Genomic DNA, 24,977 nt, shown 5'->3' with positions numbered 1-24,977 from the left:
GTCTTATTTTGTGATGTTTTTGCCTAACTTTGACTTAGTAATTCTGTCTCCTAACTTGTTTTCATAATTGTCCTTTTATAGGAATTTTTTTGAATTTTTTTAACTTAAGCAATTACTTGACTTTAATTGTTAGATTCTTAAACCTTTTTACAGAGAGCATGTAAGGATAAAATTAATACATACCTCCTTTTTTTTCTGGAAATATTTTATCCCACTAAAATGTAGACTCAAGTGAGCTTGAGGACCTTATCAGTCCTTATTGCCATTTCCCTATCACCTAGGACAGGGTCTGGCACATAGTAGTTGCTTAATAAATGCTTGTTAAAGGAAATAATATCCCATGATTTTGACTAAGTTTATTTGCCAGATATTGACTCCATATATTATAAATTGCTGTGAGTCCCATGATTATTAGTGAATGGTTTGATGTTAGGCAAAAGTGCAGTAGGCCCAATGAACATGAAAAGAAGCTAACTAAAGCTTGAAATGTGCTTTATAATCTAAATAGTAGGTTAGCTATTCTAACTTACCTAGTAACAGAATGTAAGACAGATCTATTTACTAATCAAGTATAAAATATTAGCAGTAATTACTAATTATATGACCATGAATAAAGAGACTTGGTGCATTATCCTGTGAGGTATATAGAAGTCAGAATAGCAGAGCCCTGAATCAGGAGCCACAGTACTCAAGTTCAAATCCTGCTTCTACCAATTATTAGTTGTCTGAACTTCAAAAAGTCACATTAACCACTATAAGTCTCAGCTTCAACATTTTAAAATGGATATAAGAATAGTAATTAATTCATAAGGTCATTGTGAGGACTAAAAGAGTCTATATAAAGACATTAGCACAGGACCTGGCACGTTGTAAATAATAAAAGCAAGCTATTATTGGTGTAAATAAGGGCTATTTCAGCATGGTATAACATACATGATTATTATCATGTCCTTTATGCGAAGATGAAATATCTTCTCAGAGATGAGAAGAACAATCCCAAGCCAAAGGCAAAAAGTTGGAAACCAGCACTAGAACCCAGGTCCTCAGACTTCAAATCCTATTTGCAGTCCAGTTGTGCATCATGATGAAAAGATTCCTAGACTAATGTTGAAGTACCAGCCTAAGTATAGGCTGAATAGCCTTTCAGGAAGAAAAAGCAGACAAATGAATAAAATAAAGGAGAATGCAGAGCAGAAAAAAAAAATGCCCTGGCCCCATTATGTTTACACAAATAGAGAATATCAAATATTGTATCTGCTGTTGAAGAGAGAGGAAAGAACTTTATTTGACAAATATTTTTGTAATTTTGTTTAGGAGTCAAAATTATTTTTATCTCTTGCATTAGTCCGTTTTCACACTGCTGATAAAGACATACCTGAGACTGGGAAGAAAAAGAGGTTTAATGGATTTAACAGTTTCACATGGCTGGGGAGGCCTCACAATCATGGCGGAAGGCTAGGAGCAAGTCATAACTTACATGGATGGCAACAGGCAAAGAGAGAAAGAGCTTGTGCAGGGAAACTCCCTTTTTAAAACCATCAGATCTTGTGAGACTTATTCACTATCACAAGAACAGCACAGGAAAGACCCCTCCCCATGATTCAGTTATCTCCCACCGGGTCCATCCCACAACATGTGTGAATTATGTGAGCTACAAGATGAGATTTGGGTGGGGACACAGAGACAAACCGTATCATTTATTTTAAGTATGTTTTTTCCTTTATTTTTAAAAATTGTCATATAATGATTGTACGTATTTTGGGGGTCCGTTAGTGATGTTTCGATACGTATAATGCACAGTGATATTTAATACCTTAATTTTAAAAGGGAGAACATTTCCCCCTGTATATAAACTTCTCTGGGCAAGCATAAGATTTGAACAAAATTTAAGTATTTAGTATAATTTATCACAATAATGGTTTTCTGAATTGTGTACTATCATCATGTTTGAATTTTTTTTTTCCATAGAATGCTGAAATTTCTGTCTTTGAAGTAAATATACGCTTTGTTGGTGGACTACTCTCAGCCTACTATCTGTCTGGAGAAGAGGTAAGATGAAAAGTGGTATATAAATGTGAATTATAAAGTGTCTTAAACTACATTTTTGGTAAAATATGCCATTCGTGACATATATTTAGAAGGAATCTATGGAATTTTTATATTTCAATGAAGCTGTAGCTTACACTGAGTTTCTTACAATATGTACTAATGAAATGAGCAAGCTGGGAAAGTTTGGCAGAACATATTGTCAGGGAATGTTAAGTAATGCCTTTAGAAACTGGCTCTATTATGTTATGTATGGTGTGATTATAGCTACAAATTATATGTGCCTATGGACAAATTAAAGAAGTTTAGTGTAGTGGCGGGCTTGTGGATGAATTTTTTTCTTTGAGAATTATTTTAATGTTAATACAAATAAAAACTTTTTTAAATGAATAAAGCCTGGCAAGTAAGATATAAAAATTGTAGTTTTTATGTAATTAAGGGGGTGAGACACTTAGCTACCAAGTAAACAGTCCTAAAGGCCAGCATCCCTGTATCAAGTGCTTTGGAGCTCTTCCTGAGTCAAGGCTTCATTAATTATCCACTGCTTGGAGCAAAGCAGGAATTTTAAATTTAGCTGCCTTTTATTGATAGATTAAGAAAGGATTTTTGTATCATCCTCATAAAGGTCACTGATGCTATTTTCTTGAAAGGTTTTGGACAACTTTATGAATATCGTTTGAGTGTCCACTAAGGGTTGTTGGAATGGGCCTCATCTTTAATGTTGACAGTGTTAAATGTTGACATTATGGAAAAACTGTCACATATTTCAGTTGCACGTCAGTCAGATTTGAGTTAGCCTCAGCATTCCGGCTGGGGAAAGAGTAGATCTTACCCAAACCAGTATTTCATGTATTGCTATGCTCCTTCAAACAGATTTAAGCACAGCAATAAATGTTTAATGAGAAAAGCTGCTTGACTTTGTTCCTGTCTCTCAAGTACTTTCTTAACCAAAACATACAACCTTCACAATCTTACATTTCCTCTCTGTTTAGATTTTATTCTACCTTAGATCTTTTCAAAGTATATAGATGACTTCTGTATTCATCTATATCTCTCCTGTTTTAGTGTTAAATGTTGTTCATTGTGAACTCTGTTACCTTCTCAGCCAGGGTAATGTGATCCCCTGGTCTGTTATGCCTCTTCCTCCCTTTTTTCTGTTTTTCCACTACCAGATAACTTCATGTGTTCAGTTCAGTTTAGGGTATACTAAGGATTAAGCCAAAACCAAAAAACCCTAAAACCCTATATTTTTAAAAAGTTATGTTTAAAATTAACTAATGTTATTTTAGTTAACAGGTTTCTGCTTTTAGAATACTTGTCTTTGAGTATCCAATGCCAGGATGTTCTCATTGCTTTGGACATGATATGCTAAGATGACCTTGGTTTTAACTTTTTCCATAATCTATGTGGAGGTGAGACAATTTGGAGGAAATAAGGATTGCATCCTTTTGTGTCTGGGCTCAATTAGGATAATAAAGCATACAAAGAAAAACACATATGTATCTATTCTAAATATACATCATGTTTGATTAGGATACGTTTTCACTCAGTGTTTTAAGTTTACATACATATATGTGTTTCTATATATGTGTATACTTGATATGTATATATATATATATAATTATAATACCCACAGATATTATAGTTTGCCTATAGATAAAATAATTTGCCTAAGACTTTGTAAGGATATTTTTTAATTCTGTATAGTGAACTTTAGTAAACAAATGGCTACAAAGAACACTTCCATTGCAAATAACTATTCTTTCAGTCTGTTTTGCCATTATCACTACACAAACATGTTTTTATTACATGTAGGTTTTCTGTATTTTAAATTTTATGATAAAAATTTAAGATTTTTTCTTTTATTTTTCTATCTGTAGAGTGCTTTAGTTATAGGGACCCATATTCTTAGCATGTTTTTTCTTATAGTTTCCAGAATGTTGAACAGTTAGATTATTTTCAGTATCTTTTTATTTTGAATAATATTGCTATAATCAATGAATATTTATTCTCTGAAGTGGTGTTGGCAAGTGAGAAGTGATTAATACTGGATTGTTTTAACATCATCACTTGCCTATTTCTCCCAGTTACTTAGACCCTGACAATTGATTTTCATTTGATGAATGCATTCAGGGGAATTGGCCATTAGGAATGTGATCCGGAAAATTTTTTACCCCAGGTCTGTTCTTGAGCTATTTGTATTCATATCAAAATTTTTTTAAATGAGCATTCATTTAATAGAACACCAACATAGCAAATTATGAATAAGTTGGTTTTAAATAGTTGATAAAGTTTTATACCACACACTTTTTACATAGATCAGACAATTTACTAAGGTGTCTAGGACAATTTGTCTTTCTATGTATCTCATAGAGGGACTTTTAAACCACCATAATTTAACATTCTGATTTCATCACTGAGGCTCAGGAGTATTTTAAGAACAAATCACCATCAGAAGTAGATAGACCCCACATTGATATCAGCTCAAGATTGTTAAATTTGTATGCAAAAGCAGGAGAAGAAGTACTACTGATTTGTGATATGTGTTTCAGGAAAGTTACAGTTAGAAACACTGGACAATAGTTAAGAATCCCAGCAGAAGTCTAAGCTACCAAAAAAATAATAGAAACATGAAGTACCTGTAGTAAACTTTGATTACAGGCACATATTCAAAAATTTGAAACCTCGTAGCTCAGTTAAAATATTTTGTAGCACCATAAAAAAGTCAAGCATCAGTATTTTCAAATGCTATATAAGAAGCTCAACCACAAGAATTACAAACAGATAGGATGGGGATAAGATGAATATTAAATAGGAAGAATCAGTATTAAAAATAAATTTAAAAGGTAGCACTGCTCTATTATAAGCTGGAAGGGAGCTAAAATTCTCACTGGAGATAGTAAATATAGCAGCATCTAGAATATGATTACCCAAAATATGTTCTAAAGACCACTAGTTTCTTTTGATATGGCAGGATAAATCTGTATCTGTATACATACTAAAAATAAGTTTGGGAAGAGCTACATCCTGTATTCTTTCTTGGAAATTCAGAATGCACAAAAAAAGAAGTGAATTAACTTTTATTTATCCTTGCATTTTCCACACTTACTTAACAATAGCCTTCCTCTATTAAAAAAAAAAGTGACATCTGTTAACAGTAAATTAGAATTATTTTTCAGAACAAATTTTGGAAATACTACTACAGAATAAGAGTAAAGCAAAGATGATATTGAAATTGACAAGTGCAAAACGTGTAAAATATGACATTGCAAGAGAAGATGACACATGTAGAAAAGAATTTATGTGACTATACCATGTAACATTATTTGTTTTACAACAGAAACCAATAGCTATATTGAGCAGAAAGTGAATGTAATAGGACATAGAAATGTTACAGAATCAGAGAGAGGGCTGAAGAGCAACTTGGAACAAAAAGTGTCAAGTTGGCATAGGGGATCTCTATAGCTGTACTATCACCTTGGGACACCCTGCAATTAGTAACATGGACTATTTCTTCCACCCTTCTGTTACTCTACTCAAGACACAAAGTCCCTGAAGAAAGAGGCTAATTGTCAGAGTTTCAGTTACATGCAGCCTCTTTGGGGATCTTGGAGAATGAAAAAGGATATGCTAGAAGTCTTCCTCAAAGTTTGGATTCATATCCCGTGAAGACTGAGTAGTATAAGGAAGTATAGATAATTCCTGAACAGGAAATCGAGGCCCTGTGAGAAGAGTAGGGAGATAGGACGTGTAGGAGCCAACAATAAGATTTCGCCCACTATGGTGAATATAAATATGGCAGAGAAAATAGACAAACCACATGGAAACTGACAGTTGAATAAGATACCTGAAAAAATGTAATCTGATTTGCAAAAATATTTTGTAAGCTAAGAGACGACATTTAGAATAGACCAGAGTTTTTAATCCTCAAAGAAAATATTCTGCCAGTACATTTTAACTTTGTAAAATAGAAAAACAGTAGCCAACTCCTGGAAGCCAAAATGATTAAGAACTAGCTTTCAAAGAAAAAAGATGCGGAAGACATCTTATCCAAGACTGGTAAAAGACACAGAATGGATTTTTACAGTAGATGAGTTTACTATGATAACCTCTCATTTTGAAGGCAGCAAAAGGATTTTTCTTCAGATTCCCCCTAAAAGTTATCCACTGCTGCAAACACCAGTATGAAATACTGCTGAAAGAGATTTACTCAATAAATATAATACTGCCAAATTTTAAGACTAACAAGGAGGAAACACAGAGGGGAGTAGGATTGTGGAGTAGGGAGGAGAGAGAGAAGATTAAGAATGTCAGTTAACTGGTGGGAAGATGTAGTTGTTTTTTCATAATAGGGTTAAGACATTCGGAGTATTTGGGGGTTAGAAATTGATTTTTTAGAGTTTGTTTAGTTATGGATAATCGTAAAAATGTTTAGAAATTCTCTAGAAAATTAGGATATATGACTGGTTACCTTTCAAACTCAATGTCTGCCACAATTCATTAGAAAGTGAGTCATCTCCCAGACTACCCATCTGTCTCCTGCCTGATTCTGCAAAAAAATCAGAGTGCCAGAAAATGTGTATGATTCAAACAGAGCTGTGGAAAAACAGAGAATAAAGTTAGGGCATATTAAAGTTTCAGATAAGGTTAGCACATAGCAGTGTATTCTGCCAGTTTGTAAATCATCTGGGCTTTGGATGGAAATGTATCTTCCGGTTTCCTAGTGACCAGAGCAAAGAATGGAAGAGCATTAACAGCAATCTGGTTTTGCTATTTTTATGAATACAAAAAATTTGATACCATAAAATAACCCACATATATTGCTTATATTGAATTTTCCATAAAAGGTAGAAATATGTGGTATAAACAAGAAAAATCCAACAATACATTTGGATCCACCAGAAATACATTAGCACCCTCCCAAATCCTGCCTAAATACTAAATTATAAAAATTGAGCTCACATTTATCCTGCTTTCTTATATATGGAAAGAACTTTAATTATGATCTCTAATTAGGTAGATTTAAATCCAGAAAGTAGAGATATCAACAAAAGGCCTAATTGGAAAAAAAAAAAAAGAATTGAAAACAGTGATCACAATACCTTAAAATAAAAATATATGTTAATCCCATACAGTGAAGAAATAACAGCTATGCAATATAGTTAAAAGGAAGAATTGAAATAGTGATACAGTGAAATTAAAAATCAGGTAATCGATATAGTTCGGATGTGTGTCCCCTCCAAATCTCATATTGAAATGTGATCCCCAATGTTAAAGATGGGGTCTCATGAGAGATGTTTGGGTCATGGGGCCAGATCCCTTATGAATGGCTTGGTGCCTTCCTCCAGGGTAATGAGTGAGTTCTCACTCTATTAGTTACAGCAAGGTCTGGTTGTTAAAAAGAATCTGGCCGGACATGGTGGCTCATGCCTGTAATCCCAACACTTGGGGAGACTGAGGGAGGGGGATCACTTGAGCCTCAGGAATTTGAGACAAGTCCAGGCAATAAAAGCCAGATTCTGTCTCTACTTTAAAAAAAAAAAAAAAAGTCTGCTACCTCCTTTCCCTTCCCCTGTCTCTCCTGCTCCCCCTCTGGCCATGTGTGACACCTGCTCCCTCTTCACCTTCTGCCATGATTGTAAGTTTCCTGAGGGCCCCACCAGAAGCAGATGCTGGTATTATGCTGCTTCTATCATCTGCAGAACCATGAGCCAAAATAAACCTCTTTTCTTTATAAATTACCCAGCCTCAGGTATTCCTTTATAGCGACACAAAACAGACTAATATAGTAATTAAATTCTTTACAATATTTTTCATATGCTGTAGACAATGAAAATTTTAGGAAAATATGTACATCATACCTCCAATCAAAATATAACATTAGAAATGTACACATATTTAAAATGGTAAAACTACTTGAAAATTTAAAAATCTCTCAAATAACTAGATCAAGGAATGAGTATACAATATTAGACAACTTAACAACTACAGTATAAGCATCACATTAAATTTGTTGGAAAGCAGCCAGAGTTATACTTAAAAAAATACATAATTCCAAAGGTCTGCATTAAGAAAAAATAAATATGTGGTTAAGTCTATATTTCAGTAATTTAGGGGAAAAAAAACAAAAAGACGTAACAAAAATAAGAATATAAATAGATTGCAAAATGAAAGAAAAGCTGATAAAGCTTTCTCTGCCCCTTCTCAACAGCGTCCTTATTGAGACAGTCTTCTGGGAAAGACCTTGAGAGCAGTAAGAACCATGTTTTTCACTTATTAAGAGACAGAAAGTTTTGATGACCGTGAGTTTGAGTGGCCCCCTCAGCAGGAAGACCCTTCTAGGCATGTTTTTATATAGTGTCCTCACCTGTACAGAGTGGCACATGGAAATGGTGCTTATCAGATTGGGCGGTGATTGGGAAAAAACCGTGAGAGATGTGCTCCAGATCACAATCACTATTTGGAAGAAATCAAGTATCCCTTCAGCAGATATTGGATGAGTGCCAACTATATGTCAGACACTGCTCATGGCCTCGAGATATGCCTGAGATAAAATAGCCCCCAATCCCTGGCCTTGTGGAGCTTACATTTTAGTGATTAAATGTAGCTCATAAACCAAAACTGGAAAACTTGATGAGACCTGTAAGAAAAAAAGTTGATGTTCTGGTTGGTCGGTTTTGTTATTGGAATGACAGGCCAGTACACAGGGAGAAAACCGACAGTAATGTTCATCCAACTGACCTTCGTACTGCCAGCGTCTCCCCTCTTCAGTCTCTTCCCCACTGTGGCACTAAGGAAAGTTGTCATCACTCCACACAGTCTTCTTGCAAACCACCACTGGTCCATGTGGCCTTAAAAGTTGAGTCGTTTTGATTTGGCCTACAAAGCCTTTGTAATTCAGCCTCAGCCTACCTTTTCTGGTTTCCTTCATAACAGTCCTCATGGACCTTCCACTGTATAACAGACCCTTTTTCTTCCAAAAAACGCACCAAGCCCATCTGTGTGCTTCTTAAATCTGCATTCCTTCTACCTAGAATGTCTTTCACCCTGCTCCTTCCACCCACCAAGATAGATACAGCCCCTCCGAGGCCTTCCCTGGCTGCACAACACTAAGACACCCCCTCCCCACCTTCACTTCCTTTTCTGCATTCTCTGCATACGATATTATTATAGTTCATTGTTTATGGCTCTGTGAGCCCTCTCACCTACTCACTCCCTTTTCCCCAGTAGGATTTGTACAACTCAAAAATGACGTTTCTGCTGTTTTCATATCCTCATGCTTAACACTGTATGCCTGGCACTAGAAAACATTTAGTAAATGTTTAGTCATTTAGTCATTGACTAAAACTCTTCAACAGGTTTTCTGAGACCTTTACTTTTTAAAACTGCAACAGAAAATTCTTCCAGTGACTTTTAAAGTAAAATCTGTACATGGATAATATAAATAAGCAACTAGCCTGGAAGGCTTGGGGTAGGAGATGAGAAGGAGAAAATGTAATGTAGTAAGGTGATGGACAATATGCATGATCTCTAACCACAAATAGCCTCTGTGGCTCCACCTTCAACCCCCACCCCAGCTAGCAAAACATCATCCTTTTTATCTGTTCTGTACATCCTGATTCTCTGAAAAAGAAAGTTTTGAAAATCAGCTGGAGACTATTTGTAGATTATATCATTACTAAATACAGTAGGTCATTTATTGTAGACCTTTAAAATAGATTTAACATAGAGCATTCTGAAATTATAAACCTAAGAAGAAATTATAAGAAGTAAATGTGAAAGTGATTCTACAAGGTACATATATGGTCCTTAATTTGAGGAAACTAACTAAAACTTAATGACACATTTATGCCAATTTCCTAGAAAGGAACAATTTTAATTATATTTATCAGGTGATACTGATTGTTATATTAATGTAATTATATAATTATGTAATTGTTGTATATTAATATGTTTGGCCCTTTGATTTCTTAGAGGTTTAGATTTAGCCTTACATATATTTTAAATGTTAATTTACTATTTGGCATTATTGAAATTTTTATAAGAAAGGAATGTAAAATACTGAATAGCTAATATTTTCATTTAAAAGTTTAATTCAGTAAAACAGAGAATTGTAATTTTGCTTATTATGTTTATAATTAAATTTCCATGGTTAATGAGTTATAGCTGTTACACATTGACTATTCCATTATGATTGGTAAATTTAATTTGTACTTTAAAAGGAATATAGGAGTGTACAGAGTTGATTCAAAAACAACACATACTTTAGTCAAAAGAAATTACTGCTTTTTCTTGTCCTAGAGTGAATTACAGAAATCATACCTACCCCTTAACTCAGATCTGTTCTGTTTGTCCCTCTGCATAAGCCCTATCTTGTACTGATAATTGTTTTTGAAAGCATAGTTTTATAAGCTGTAAAAATTTTATCTCCACAATTCATGAGCACATTTCTACATTTCACTAGTAATCCCAGCCCTGAAACTTATTTATACTTAATGTGTAAATGGTAGAAGCTGGCCTAGCCCTTGATCTCATTGCCAAGTGAGTGCTTGAAACCTAACGGAAAGGGAAAGTCAGAAAATTCAGTTGTTTTGTTTTGTTTTGTTTTGTTTGTTTTCTGAGACGGAGTCTTGCTCTGCCGCCCAGGCTGGAGTGCAGTGGTGCGATCTTGGCTCACTTCACTGCATACTCCTCCTCTCAGGTTCAGGCAATTCTCCTGCCTCAGCCTCCCGAGTAGCTGGGATTACAGACTCCCGCCACCATGCCCGGCTAATTTTTTTTTTTGTATTTTTAGTAGAGATGGGGTTTCACCATGTTGGCCAGGCTGGTCTCTTATCTCTTGACCTCATGATCCACCCACCTTGGCCTCTCAAAGTGCTGGGATTAGAGGTATGAGCCACCGCACCTGGCCAAATTCAGTTGTTTTTTAACGAAATATTTTTATCCCTTTTAGTTTAGCATAGTTCCCTACACATAGCAGCAAACTACAAATTCACATCAGTGAGAAATAGACCTGTGTTATCATTCAGCAACAGCCTGAAATCTCAGTGGATTAAGACAGCATGTTCTACCTTGACTCTGCTTCTCATCATCCTTCCTTCAGAGTCCAACCTGCTGGGGCAGCTGCCATCTAGGTCATTTCTAGTTGTCATGGGGAAGAGGGAGTGGTGGCAAAAGAGATTCTGGCAAATCCCACACTGGCTTTTAATGCACTTGTCTGAAAGACCCATGTTACTTCAGCTTACATGTCATTGGCCAGAGCAAGTCATAGGGCCACTACAACTTAAAGGGGTGAAGAGGTGGTGATGAACAGCATTCATGACCACCACAGCGACCACTGACTTGGGTTAGACTGTGTAGCCCTCTTAACTGCCCAGAGTAGCAGAAGATAAGAATTACTGAGAAGATAACTTTGTCAAGAGTCCCCAAACTGGAGCCAGCCAGTCTCACTGGAAAAACCCTTCAATAAAGTGGCACCAAAGTAGGGTGACGAGTGTGACTTGGGATATGAATCTTCACTAACACACATCTTCACTAAATTTTCAAGTAAAAAGCACTTGTTTACAAAGTTTCCCCTCTCCTGAAAATACCTTCTACTCTGTAGGCTTCTCCCCGGCCTTCCAGATTTGAAACAGTAAAGTTGACAGACAGACATATACTGCCCTCTATACCACCACTGCTGTTGTCTGTGGTGGGAGCCAGTTGCTGTTTGGCAGCGGCCTGCCGTGTTGCCTGGATGTTAAAGACCTGGTGCTTTTCCTTCCACCACTTTTTCTTTGATTTCAGTGCTCACTAGGTCAGTCACTTCTCATTTTTCAAAAGCCTAATGAAAGAGATGAGGTAATATGTTCTATTTTGATTTATATTGAATCACTTTATAATTCATAATGACTGTTGAAACCAATACTTCAAATCATTTTTATTGCCTGAGTCATATTGACATGGATTTCTAACACAGATTTTTGCCTGTGAGTGAATGTTTTTCAACAAAAGTTATTTTTTTCAGGAATGTTCTTGCAAATTATTTTTCTTTCAAATTGTGATCTCCTTTAGAAGGGTATATAAGATAGCTGTAGCAAGAAATTTAAAATTTAATAGGGCTAGCAGAAAATGCCTCAGAATTGTGATAATATACCATCTGGTAATTTCATTCATTAAGTGAATCAGCAGATGCTTATTGAATACCTGCTTTGAGGCACTGCAGTTGGTGCCGCAGAAACAACAGTGAATAAGAGAAACACAGTCCCCATTGACAAATGTTAATTCAAATATTAATTTCACAACAACCCTATAAAGTAGGAGTAGGAACTGTTTTTATTCTCATTTTATGGAGGAAGAAACAGAGGCACAGAGTGTTATTTGCCCAAGGACATGCAAAGTAGCAGAGCTAGGCTTCAAACTTGGGCATTCTGGCTCCCAGCTACTGAGTAGCAGCTAGACATTAGAGATCTCAAGCACAGAAGATAAGATATTGATAGGCCTGAACCCATGAGTCATCAACAACTAAATGATAATTGAAAGAATGGACAGGAGTAAGATTGTCCAGGGCATTATACACTGAGAAAATAGGCCTTAATATTTAAGTGTTGTTGAGAAGAAAGAGCTAGAAAAGGAGACTCAGAAGTCGTGGTCTGGGAAGTAGGAGGGAAACTAGTAGAATGTGACATCACAGAGTCCAAGAGAAAATACTATTTTGAAAACAGATGTTCAGTTCTGTCAAGTGCTGCTGCTAGAAGTTGTATATGGACTCTCTTTAGCATCTTACAACATGGAGGTCATGGATGACTTTATGGAGGGTACTTCAGTAGAGTAATAGGATAGAATCCAAATTGTTTTTGATTGAAGAAGAGAAGGTGGTAAGGAAATAAAGATTAGTTCAAGGTCTTTAAGCAGTTAGGGGAAGGTGGCATTCACGAAGACAGATGGCCTTTGGGGAGGCATCCTTTGCAATATGAGAAAGCGGAGGAGAAGGTAGGAATACAAGTAGGTAACTTATTAGACTTGGTGGCAAATAAATGAGATAGTTATTCTCTGGTGGATCCTGTTAAATACAAGACAAGGATTTCTGCTGAGACTCAGGGGAAGAGGAGAGATGTTTGATGTGAACGTGTACATTTTAAAATTGTCATTCTAAAGGGTTGAGTACAGAAACATGGTAGAGGTTCTGGACAGTGTCTAGGCTGGTAGCCATGAATTTATGGTAGCCTCAATCCTTATAAACGTATGATGCTTTTTCCAACAGTGTTCGGCACTTTAGGTACAAGCATGGAGAAGGCAGTTAGTTGGTTTTAGTTAAGGTTTGGTAGCCAGGTAACACAGAGAGAAAGGCATGGATTTTAAAGTATTGGCAGAATTTATTGAATGTATAGACCATGCAGTCCAAGATGAATATAAGGCAGTAGGAAAAAGGCAGGTGAGTAGTGGTTAGAGAGAAAATGGACTGATTGAATTGCTTGAGGTTTAGCTGAAGTAGCGTAGGAGTAGTAGCCATAATTTAATAGGTTATTGGAAGCTTTTAAAGTTAAGGCTATATGGTGGGATGTATGAATTAAAAGAGTTTTTTTTAATGGAGCAGTTTTAAGTGATGTCATAATCTAGGATAACATGAGATTGAATGGTTGAGGGGGGATTTTGCCAGAGTCTATCTGCATGGCTGTGTTAGTCCATTTTGTATTGCTATAAAAGAATACTGAGGCTGGGTAATTTATAAAGAAGAGAGATTTATTTGGCTCACGGTTCTGCAGTCTGTATAAGCAAGGCTCCAGCATCTGCTTGGCTTCTCATGAAGCCTCAGGAAGCTTTCCACTCATGGCAGAAGGCAGTGGGGGAGCAGGCATGTGACATGGTCAGAGAAGGGACCAAGAGAGAGAAGGGAGGTGCCATACTCTAAACAACCAGATCTCATGTGAACTTGCAGAGCAAGAACTCATTCATCACCAAGGGAACGCCACCAAGCCATTCATGAGGGATCCACCCCCATGATCCAAACACCTCCTACTAGGCCCCACCTTCCAACACTGGGGGGGGCACATTTCAAGATGAGATTTTGAGGGGACAGATATCTATTATCACTGACGATGCAACATATTTCAATTTTAAAAATAATAAGATGTAAAAATTGCTGTTTAAAAAAAAACTAAGTACCGGTGAAGTGATCTTTAATACTGCTAAAATATAAACACTTTCTATAAAATTCATAAATCCATACTAAAATATGTACTGAGTAAAGGTTGCTGCTTAAACAAAAAGCAGAGGGAAATATTCATGCAGAATGAAGTTTAAATATGTGATTGTTGAACAAACATTATGACTCTAGAGCCTTAAGAAGTAAGTCAGATAATTAGAGTTGGCAGTAGAAATGTAAACAAAATGAATATCAGCTAATTAGCTGGATTTTAATGCATCTATACCTGTACAGAGCTGTTTCTTCTAAAATATACTGGAATTTTATCTGCATAGATAAATGTAGACAGTTTGATTGTGGTGCTGTGAATTTGTTTTGGATTTTTGTCATTGGTTTTTGTTTTGTTTTGTTTTTTCAGAATTGAGGGTCTCTCTGTCACTCAGGCTGGAGCACAGTGGCACGATCATAGTTCACTGCATCCTTGAACTCCTGGGCTCAAGGAATCCTGCCTCAGCTCTCTGAATAGCTGGGACTATATATGCACACCACCATGCCTGGCTAATTACTTTTTTTTTATTTATTTATTTATTTATTTATTTTTACTTTTTTTTTTTTTTTTTTTTTTGAGATGGAGTCTTGCTCTGTCGCCCAGGCTGGAGTGCAGTTGTGCAGTCTCGGCTCACTGCAAGCTCCGCCTCCCAGGTTCATGCCATTCTCCCGCCTCAGCCTCCCGAGTAGCTGGGACTACAGGCGCCCGCCACCACGCCCGGCTAATTTGTTGTATTTTTTAGTAGAGACGGGTTTTCCCCGTGTTAACCAGGATGGTCTCCATCTCCTGACCTCGTGATTCACCCACCTCGGCCTCCCAAAGTGCCGGGATTACAGGCTACTTTTTATTTTTTTGTAGAGATAAGGCCTCACCATTTTGCCCACACTGGTCTTGAACTCCTGACCTAAAGTTACCCTCCTGCCTCTACCTCCCAAAGTGCTAGGACTATAGATGTGAGCCACTGCCCCTGGCCTGGATTTATTCTATAAATTAAGTCTTACCTAATGTATGAAACTATCATTTGATTCATAAAAAAATTTGTTTTTGTTAAAAATTTTTATGGTCTGGGAATTAGGTGCCTTCTAAAGGAAGTCCTCTAAAGATTTCATTTGCCAGACTTTCTTGTGATATCACTTTATGATGTAGATTTATGGTTTATGTATTTTTTTAAGTTTTTTTCTTTAAAACATTTTAGAAAATAGTTCACTGACAGATCATAGGGTTAACCATTTTAATAATAATAACGAAGTCACTTCTGCTACATGATGAAATGTTTTCCCAAGAGAGGTCATATATCTGAGTATGCCACAATTTGTTTGCATTTGAAAGCAAACAGCTCCAGTCTTGTAATTTAGCTGAAAATTCATTTAAATTGATAATAAAATAAACATAAGCCTTGAGGGCAATGTTTGTTTTTAACTTAACAATTGATATTTATTTTATAATAATTTGAAGTATCCGATTCCTCTGAAGTAGTACAAATAGAGATTCTAAGGTCCTTCAAAAACAAGGAAATTCCAGAGCTTTAATAGGATAGGCATAGAACAGAAGAATTTTTTTCGTGGCTCTTTATTCTAAACACTTTTGTTTTTCATTCTTGACATTAGGTAGAAGGCTAGGGTTAGAAAAGATAAGCAGAAGAGATTGTCATCTTAGTTTTATAAATACCATTTAGGTTGATGCATTTACTTGTGTAATCATATTTTATGTTATTTTTAGTTATTGACAAAACAATACCCACAGTTGCTCTAATTTATAAATTACTGCTAACTTATGTGTTTCAGTTCTTAAGTCTAACTTGATATTATGATTATTAAATAGTGACTTCCTTAGTTTTCTCTGATGTGGTTACTATAGTCAGGTAGAAAGAACACTGTATAATACAGTTTAGGTTTAGCTATTAAGGCAAATAACTCCAGCATTTATGAGTTTCTGCCGTCTAATGCTTTATAACTAAACTTGGAATAATACTAATTTAGAATTGAGCCCTGAATGACTAGTTATAGTAGACTTCTCTCTATCATCTGGTCAGGCTTCCAATTTTTAACATGTCTAGTCCCTTATGATTCACTCCTTTATTCAGCAAATGTGTTAAGCATCTGTTATGTTCCATGCCATGTTCTAGTCTCTGGAGGATTCAGCAGTGAACAAATTAGACAAAGTTTCTGCTTTCGTAAGATTTACATGATAAGGGGGTAAAATGTTAAACAAGTTCACAGGATCATTTTAGATGGCAATAAGAGCTCTGAAGAAAATACAATATAACCATGTGATAAAGTGATGGAGGGTGGGAAAGGGAGATGATGAGGACTACTTTAGGCCAAATCGGAGCCACAGTCTGAATAACATAGAAGGGTCAACCATGGAAGATTTGGAGGAAATAACATTCTAAAGAGAGGAACTTAAGAGTTCTGTATTGATGGTTCATTTCTTTCTTTCCTTTGGAATGAAGAAGAAGAGAAGGAGGGCAGCAATGGTGATAAAACTTTTTTTATGGTTTATTGTGTGCCAAGTACACAGTATCAGTACTGGGGTAATTACGTCATCTCCATATTGTAGATACACTGAAGCTCTGAGAAGCTAATTCCTTAGCCATATAGGACATGACAGAAATGGGATTACACTCTGCTGTCTGTAGCAAAGCACATGACCGTGTCCACATATTATTCCCAAAACCAGTGTTGCCAGGGTTGGTACCACAACTTTTCTTCCTTTTCTGTTTACTTGCTTATCAGTTACATACCTAAATCTCATAAAAATGAAATAGCAGTTGCCGGGCACAGTGGCTCACGCCTGTAATCCCAGCACTTTGGGAGGCCAAGGCGAGCGAATCACCTGAGGTCAAGAGTTTGAGACGAGCCTGGCCAACATGGTGAAACCCCGTCTCTACTAAAAATAAAAAAATTAGGCCGGGCGCGGTGGCTCACGCCTGTAATCCCAGCACTTTGGGAGGCCGAGGCGGGCGGATCACGAGGTCAGGAGATCAAGACCATCCCGGCTAAAACGGTGAAACCCCGTCTCTACTAAAAATACAAAAAATTAGCCGGGCGTAGTGGCGGGCGCCTGTAGTCCCAGCTACTTGGGAGGCTGAGGCAGGAGAATGGCGTGAACCCGGGAGGCGGAGCTTGCAGTGAGCCGAGATCCCGCCACTGCACTCCAGCCTGGGCGACAGAGCGAGACTCCGTCTCAAAAAAAAAAAAAAAAAAAAAAAAAAAAAAAAAAAAAAAAAAAAAAATTAGCTGGGTATGGTGGTGCATGCCTGCAATCCCAGCTACTCAGGAGGCTGAGGCAGGAGAATTGCTTGAACCCGGGAGGCAGAGGTTGCAGTGAGCCAGGATCATGCCACTGCACTCCAGCCTGGGCAACAGGGTGAGACTCTGTCTCAAAAAAAAAAAATGAACTAGCAGCAACCTTCTAGCCCATGAAATCTTCCACTTCTTGGGCAACAAAGAATAATTAAGTTATGAAAACTAAACCATAATCACACTCGTAATGCTTATGAGTTAATAATAGATTTTTGCACAAGTTGTGTTTGAAAACATTTATTCATTGCACTTAAGTCTTTCTCAAAACACAAAGCTGTCCTTGAATTTTTAATATAGTTCATTAAATTGAAAAAATTCTCATTTTCTTTCCCATGTTTTTATTCTTCAATCTCTGACTCTTTTCATCAATAGAGTAAAATGGTTTTCATTATCCAGTGAGTACATATAACAAAAACTTTCAATATATATAAAGACAGCCATGTGATTTCAGCTTTAATCTCTCTTTTTATTCTGAACTAAAGTCAGATACACTTCAAAATGTTGGTAAAATGTATATATTTTGGTGTGACATTGTGACAGTTAAGGTATACATTCAGCCTTTTCTCAGGCATATTGAAAATGGTAGTAGTTGAGGTAGTTGAGACACTGAATGAGGTAGATGTTCACGATTTAGAAAAAAATATTATTTTCAATTTTCAAATCATATCTGATATAAATGAAGGGAAAAGGTAATACCTTGTCATTTCAGATGAAACTAAAATATTTTGGCTTTATCAACAGACATAAATTTTGAAGGCTTACCAATACAATTGGTATGCTTTTATGTAATTAGAGAACTCCAAAAAGCACTTAGAAATAGCTCGTAAATCTACCATATGTTGACAGCACTTTAATGAATTTCTCTAGACTGTGAATAAAAATTTGGACTCCAGTGCTCTTTATATTTTATTCACTTAGAAAAAGTAAGACAGGATTGCTCAGATTTATTGTCATATATCATAAAAGTAACTACAAAATATCTACTCATTATAGTTAAAGATTTACAGTGAACATTTTATAGTATGTTTTCTCTTAATTATGTTAATTGTTCACAAATGAGAACACTCAAAACCAGTGCTTCTAAGATTAAACTAAGATTAGATCCAGTGGCCTGGCATCTCTCAGGAGTTTTTCATAGGGATCCAACCCATAGTGAAATCTCAGGAGGTCCTCTCAAATAATGGAGTTTAATTATTACTCATAAATGGGCAGTTTTCCACACTAACAGATGTTCTCAATCTCATGCAACCCCACTACTTGGTGTTGCAATTCCCACTACTTTTCCTTATCCATTCAATACTTTCCCCTGTGTCCAGATAGTTGCTGAATCAGCATTTACCCACTTTATGAATACTCAGAATAAAATACCAACACTTAGACTCCTCTCCCCCAACCTTTTTTTCCTATCAAATTAACAAAGACAGAAAATCATGTTAATACCTAGTTTGGTAAGAGTGGGGCAAAAATTTACTCTCAGGCATTGCTGTTGGGAATGTAATATGATAAAAGTGTTCTGGAAAAGAAAAAAAACAAGTGCTGTATATATGAGTAGATCCTTTTAGCTCCAGTTACTCTTATCCTGCATTGGGGAATCTATCCAAAGGAAATAATCCAAAAATGTAATTATATTATGCCAGAAGCAGGTCTTGGAAATATTTTATATATTTAGTAAATAAGAAGAAACATCTCAAATATTCAGCAGTAAGGGAGTGCAGCAGATCATGGAATGCTCACATAACAGAGTAATATGCAGCCATTAAAATTTATGCTTGTTTATTCAAGGGCATGGGCAAGTATGGATATGGTAAATAATGCAGGATACTTTCATGTATGATATGATTTCAGCTATGGAAAATATAGAGAAAAATGATGTGGAGCTATTTCTAAACTATAAACCTAATATTCCTAAATATTTGCTTCCGGTTGGTATGTGATCCTTCCCTCTGCCTGTTTTTCTGTACTCATCTGAATTTCCATACTGAACTTGTAATATTCTTTTGATCAGAAAATATTAAAGGAAAATCACAACAGATTTGGAAAACAATCATTAACTAAATTTCTGCCCCAGTCTTACTCAGGATTCAGTTTTTCCAACCTCTAAAGATTTAAATTTTTTTAACTTTTCATACTAGAATTCAGCTTATAAAGTCTTGAAAGTCACCTTTTTCCCTTTCTGACATCTGTTTCATAAAGAAAATGACTTAGTGGTAACTGGATTTCCTTCTTTATAGTCAATTTATAGATTTCCATCTTAGAAGGTTGTTTATTTACAACAACATCTATTAGCTGTTAATATTATCCTCAGTTCACATGGAAATGGAGGTGACATAAAGCTTAAATAAAGATTGGTCATAAATCCTTGCACAGTCTCAGATCCAACTACTTTGTCTTTATATTATCCAAAGCAGTTCAAAAAGACAAAGGCTGCTGATAGTAACAAGATTTCTCCGTTGAAAACACACACACATTCATAAATCAATCGAAAGTGTGGTACAAAATAGTATGTATTTTGTATTCTTTAAAAAAAATTGAGCATTTCTAATCTCTTCATTTTCCTTAACCATTTAGAAGTCAAAAGTTGAATTATTTGTGATAAGTGTATACGCTCTATTAATATATTATTGCTATAGATAAGCATATAATAAAGTTTATATTTATTACTAACATACATGGAAATTTTGGGCTACTGAGATACCTGGCACAGTCAGTGACTTTGTCTATTCCTACAGGATCTAATTGAAAGGTGTTAGGAAAGGCATAGCAAAGAGCCTTTTTCCTGTTGTTACAAGCAGTAAATGGCCCTTAAGAAACTTCAAAAAGAATGAATGCTTGCTTGAGAAAGAAGGGAGTAAGAGAAAAGCTTTTCAGTAATGAGCAGGAGAAAAAAGAAAACCTGGTCTGAGAGATAAAAGAGGTGACTATTAAAACGGAAGGACACAGTCTACCAGAAACTCGTGAGGCTTTACAAATCAAAATCTAGACTCACTTTACCATGGAAACTGAAGACAATTAGAAAGTATATGTTTACAATTTTGTAATATTTTACTTTATTTTTAATTATCCAAAGCAAATATAAGACTATTCATGATAGGAATTGATAGTTTGGTTATGACTACACCGATATTGAAGCCATGTGTAAATTTGAAATACTTAATTTTTTAAAGCTGTTTCATGGAATCTATAGATGTGACAAAAAGCTAATAATGTATTCTGTCACTTTACTTCCTTGTCACCCTAAGACTGTGTTTCTCCTTCCAGTAATAGGATACGAGGTACTTGTCTGAGAACATGTAACTGGAGTAGACTTTTATGTAGTGATCTGAGGCCCTTACTAGATCTCTTTCTTTCTAAGGGAAATCACCAAATTTTGAGCCTATAGGTAAATCATTTGTAAACCGGGGGTTGGCTGGGCGTGGTGGCTCATGCCTGTAATCCCAGCATTTTGGGAGGCCGAGGCAGGCAGATCACCTGAGGTCAGGAGTTGGAAACCAGGCTGGCAAACATGGTGAGACCCTGTCTCTACTAAAAATACAAAAAAAAAATAGCTAGGTGTAGTGGTGCATGCCTGTAACCCCAGCTACTCGGGAGGCTGAGGCAGGAGAATTGCTTGAACCCAGGAGGCGGAGGTTGCAGTGAGCTGAGATCACGCCACTGCACTCCAGCCTGGGCAACAGAGTGAGATTCTGCCTCAAAAAAAAAAAAAGATGGGGCTACTTGAAATAATCATTGTATTGGAGACATCCAGCTAATGAACTTAAGAAGTAGCTCTTATAGGGTGGAAAGAACATTACCTTTAGAATCTAGAATTCTGGTTTCTCAGGCTCTGTTTGGTTATTAGGTATTACCTAGAGCAAACCCTTTATCACATTGTTTTTTTTTAATTGATTTAAGTAATGGAATATGAAATAAATGTCTTTTAAGCATTCCTTTAAATCCATTTTTCTAGAACTATGATACACTAACATTCAAGTTCACAGAATATTATAAATTAGGGGAGGGGTATAGTGGGATAAATTTCCTTCCTGTAACTCAAAACTTCTTAACCCATTTTTGTATCTAAACACAATGACTCCTTCCAGTGAAATGTAGAGTTGTGTTTCTTGCCATACAATGCTTAGGTAGTCCAGATATGTATATGTGGGAATGAAAAAGAAGTAGAAAAGTTGGGCATCTTTTTCCCCTGGAAAAATATTGTGTTCTATGGAAGAGAAAGTAGTTGGTGGATAGTGGAAAGAAGATGCTAAGAAGTAGAGAAGTCGTTCAAGGAAAACAGTAAACTGCAATATTCACAGAAACAGTTGGGAATATGTACTGATTCTTTACTTAGGGGATGACCATAGTTTTAACTCATTTCTTACCCCAAATTCGCAGATTGCATTCTATTGTATTATAAATAGATCTCTCATTTTAATGACCAACTCAAGGGATATTCTGGCAGCCGTGGTGAGAATGAGAAACAAAGATTTTTATACCCAGCAAAACTGACTTTCAGGTGTAAATGACACAAGCGGGCTATTGTCAGCATGCAAGAACTTGGGAATATTGTTTCCAGGACCCTTTCCTGATGAATATACCTGGGAACAAACTTCAGACCACCAAATAAATACTGTATGATGTCCAAAATAGGCATATTCATAGAGACAGAAAGTAGATCAGTGGTTGCCTAGGACAAGAGGGGTTGGAGGGAAATGGGGAGTGACTGCTGATGCACACAGCACTTCTTTTTTGAGATGATGATAATGTTCTAAAATTGTGAATCAACTCAGTGTGAGTATACTAAAGCCACTAAAGTGTATACTTTAAATGGGTGAATTGTATGATATGTTAAAAAGAAAAACACTATAGTTCTGAGTTTTAATTGAAAATATTAATATGAGCATATGATATATTGTATTTTAAATATACATAAATATGCATATATATGTATGTCCCCTGAAAAGACCTAGAAACAGTATGAAACCAGTAGCTATGAGCATCTCTAACACACAGAGTGCGGGCTTGAATTAATATTTTCCACTAACCAGGGCTTCTTGGAGAAGAGACTGAAATTGGAAATGTACAAGATTAGTCTGAAATATCAAACCAGGTAACAAAGAAGCTAACAAAGACTGCTAGAGTAAGGTCAAAGGACTCAGGAGCCAACTGGAAGAGGCTTCCATTGGCCAAAAATGAGAATTTTGAGTTTCAGTAAAAATAAGAACTATAATAGATTAAAATCCACTAAGTACGTTTAAATTGATAAGTTCAAGCCATGGGCAGTGAAGCATGCATGTAATCACAGCTACTTGAGAGGCTGAGGCAGGAGGATAGCTTGAACCCAGGAGTTCAAAACCAGCCTGGACAGCATAGCAAGACCCTATCTCTAATTAAAAATAAAAATCAATAAATGGATAAGTTCATCATAATGAAAAGCAAAAATAATTGGTCACCTTCAAAGAATGACAGGAAAGCAGTTATCTTGAAAACTGGTATTTTCCCAGGCAGCTGCCAAAGATGGAGGGGCAGGTCCTGGTGCTCACTGGCCAAGGCCACCTTCTGGTCTGCCTGACAGCCGTCCTGGATAGGCAGGTACTGCTGGGCCAGAAGGTGGTGGTCGTGCACTGCAAAGGCATCAACATTTTTGGCACTTTCCACAGAAACAGGTTGGAGTACCTGGCCTTCCTTCACAAGTAGATGAACACCAACCCTTCCTGAGGCCCCCCATCTGCATCTTTTGGCAGACCGCTTGAGGCATGCTGCTTCGCAAGACCAAGCGAGGCCAGGACGTCCCTGACCACCCCAAGGTGTTTAATGGGATCCCACTGCCCTATGACAAGAAAAAGTGGATGATGCTTCCTGCTGCTCCCAAGGTTGTGTGTCTGAAGCCTGTGAGAAAATTTGCCTATCTGGGGTGCCTGGTTCACGAGTTTGGCTGGAAGTACCAGGCAGTGACAGCCACCCAGGAGAAGAGGAAGAAGGCCAATATCTGCTATTGGAAGAAAAGCAGCTTATGAGGCTATGTAAACAGGCCCAAAAGAATGTGGAGGAGAAAACAATTACACAGAGGTCCTCAAGACCTATGGACTCCTGGTTTGAGCCCACTAAAGACTGTTTATTCCTTATGATTGCCTGGCCTGCCCTTCCACCGTTGCTGCCGTGGGGTGTAGAGGACCCAAGGGTGGCAATCCAGGTGCCACAGACAGCCTGGTACTTAGGAAGCTGGGGGTAAGGAAACGGCATTATTCAACTGCCTTTCTATATTGTTACTTTAAATGACTCTAAGAATTGTTCAGGCGTAGTTTGTCTATGGCCTACTCGTTCATGAGAGAGTTGTTTTAGAAAAATGAGGGCCGGGCACATTGGCTTACACCTGTAATCCGAGCACTTTGAGAAGCCAAGAGATCGCTTGAGTCCAGGAATTTGAGACCATCCTGGGCAACATTATGAAACCCCATCTCTAACAAAAATGCAGAAATTAGCTAGGCATGGTGGCACATGCCTGTACTCCCAGCTACTTGGGAGGCTGAGGTGGGAAGGTCACCTAAGCCCGGGAGGTCAAGGCTGCAGTGAGCCAAAATTGCACCACTACACTTCAACCTGGGTGACAGAGTGAGACCCTGTCTCAAAAAAAAAAGTAAAACAATAGTAAGAAGAGCCAGTTACCTTGGTTTCAAGATTAGCAAAAGGGAGCTGGAACATGCATTGGAGGGAGCCCTACCTTCTGAGTGGGCCATCTGTTTTAACTTCCCACCTTATCCTATACTCTGCAGCTGTGATAATGTGGAAAAAAAAAACACTTGGGGACAGTATGAGCTTGCTGTTTTACAAAGAGTATGTATAGAAGCATAGACTGGGAAGATGTGTGACCAGGGCGTTACAGGGTAGCCCTTGCTCCTTCCCTGTATTTTGTGGTCCGAATCAAATAAATTGCTTTTAAAGAAGAAGAAGTCTGGTAAATAAAGGAAAAGAATCAGGCATTTATCTTGCCCCTCCTGTATGAACTATATCACTGGTAACTAAATAGTAGATAAGCAATGTTTCTCTTAAAATTATACCTGCTTACAAATGAAAGTGAAATGATAAAAGTAGAAAATCACCATTTTTACAACTCCTGATGAATTAATGGATCTGGACCATGGTCACCAACAGCTGCTTGCTTCTCAAAAGGAGAGCAAACCACATAGTGCCTCCTGATAACATATCACCTATAGTCTTGCCAAAGGCATCAAGTCTCCACATCCAGCTTCCAATTTGTCATAAATACAGAAGGAAGAATGTGCCAAACTCCACCATACATATGCAGTCAGGAACCCATAGAATAAGTCTCCCACAGTTCAAATAACCCAGATTTGTCCACATAAATTATAAGGAAAAGAAAAGAAAAAATGAGATGCCTGTGGTTTAAAATAAGAGGCTTCAAAGTCATCCTTTTTTGAAATGATCATGACTGTCTATAGTGTCTAATGATGTAGAT

General features: G+C 36.9%; 1 protein-coding gene and 1 pseudogene across 4 annotated transcripts in view; both read left to right on the top strand.

The window, feature by feature from the left end:
• The window catches only part of MAN1A1 (mannosidase alpha class 1A member 1), a 173,401-nt gene that overhangs the window by 57,874 nt on the left and 90,550 nt on the right, over positions 1-24,977 (top strand). For all 4 annotated transcript variants that reach the window (XM_005266986.5, NM_005907.4, XM_011535833.3 and 1 more), the window contains one exon: positions 1,969-2,049. In XM_005266986.5, the coding sequence (XP_005267043.1) occupies positions 1,969-2,049 (81 nt within the window). The remainder of the gene's footprint in view (positions 1-1,968; positions 2,050-24,977) is intronic.
• On the top strand, positions 22,997-23,815 carry RPL13AP15 (ribosomal protein L13a pseudogene 15; annotated as a pseudogene).

The sequence above is a fragment of the Homo sapiens genome, chromosome 6 (genome assembly GCF_000001405.40).
Source record: "Homo sapiens chromosome 6, GRCh38.p14 Primary Assembly".
Taxonomy (NCBI): domain Eukaryota; kingdom Metazoa; phylum Chordata; class Mammalia; order Primates; family Hominidae; genus Homo; species Homo sapiens.
Note: the sequence above shows the minus strand (reverse complement) of the source record. Positions and strands in the feature narration are given on the sequence as shown.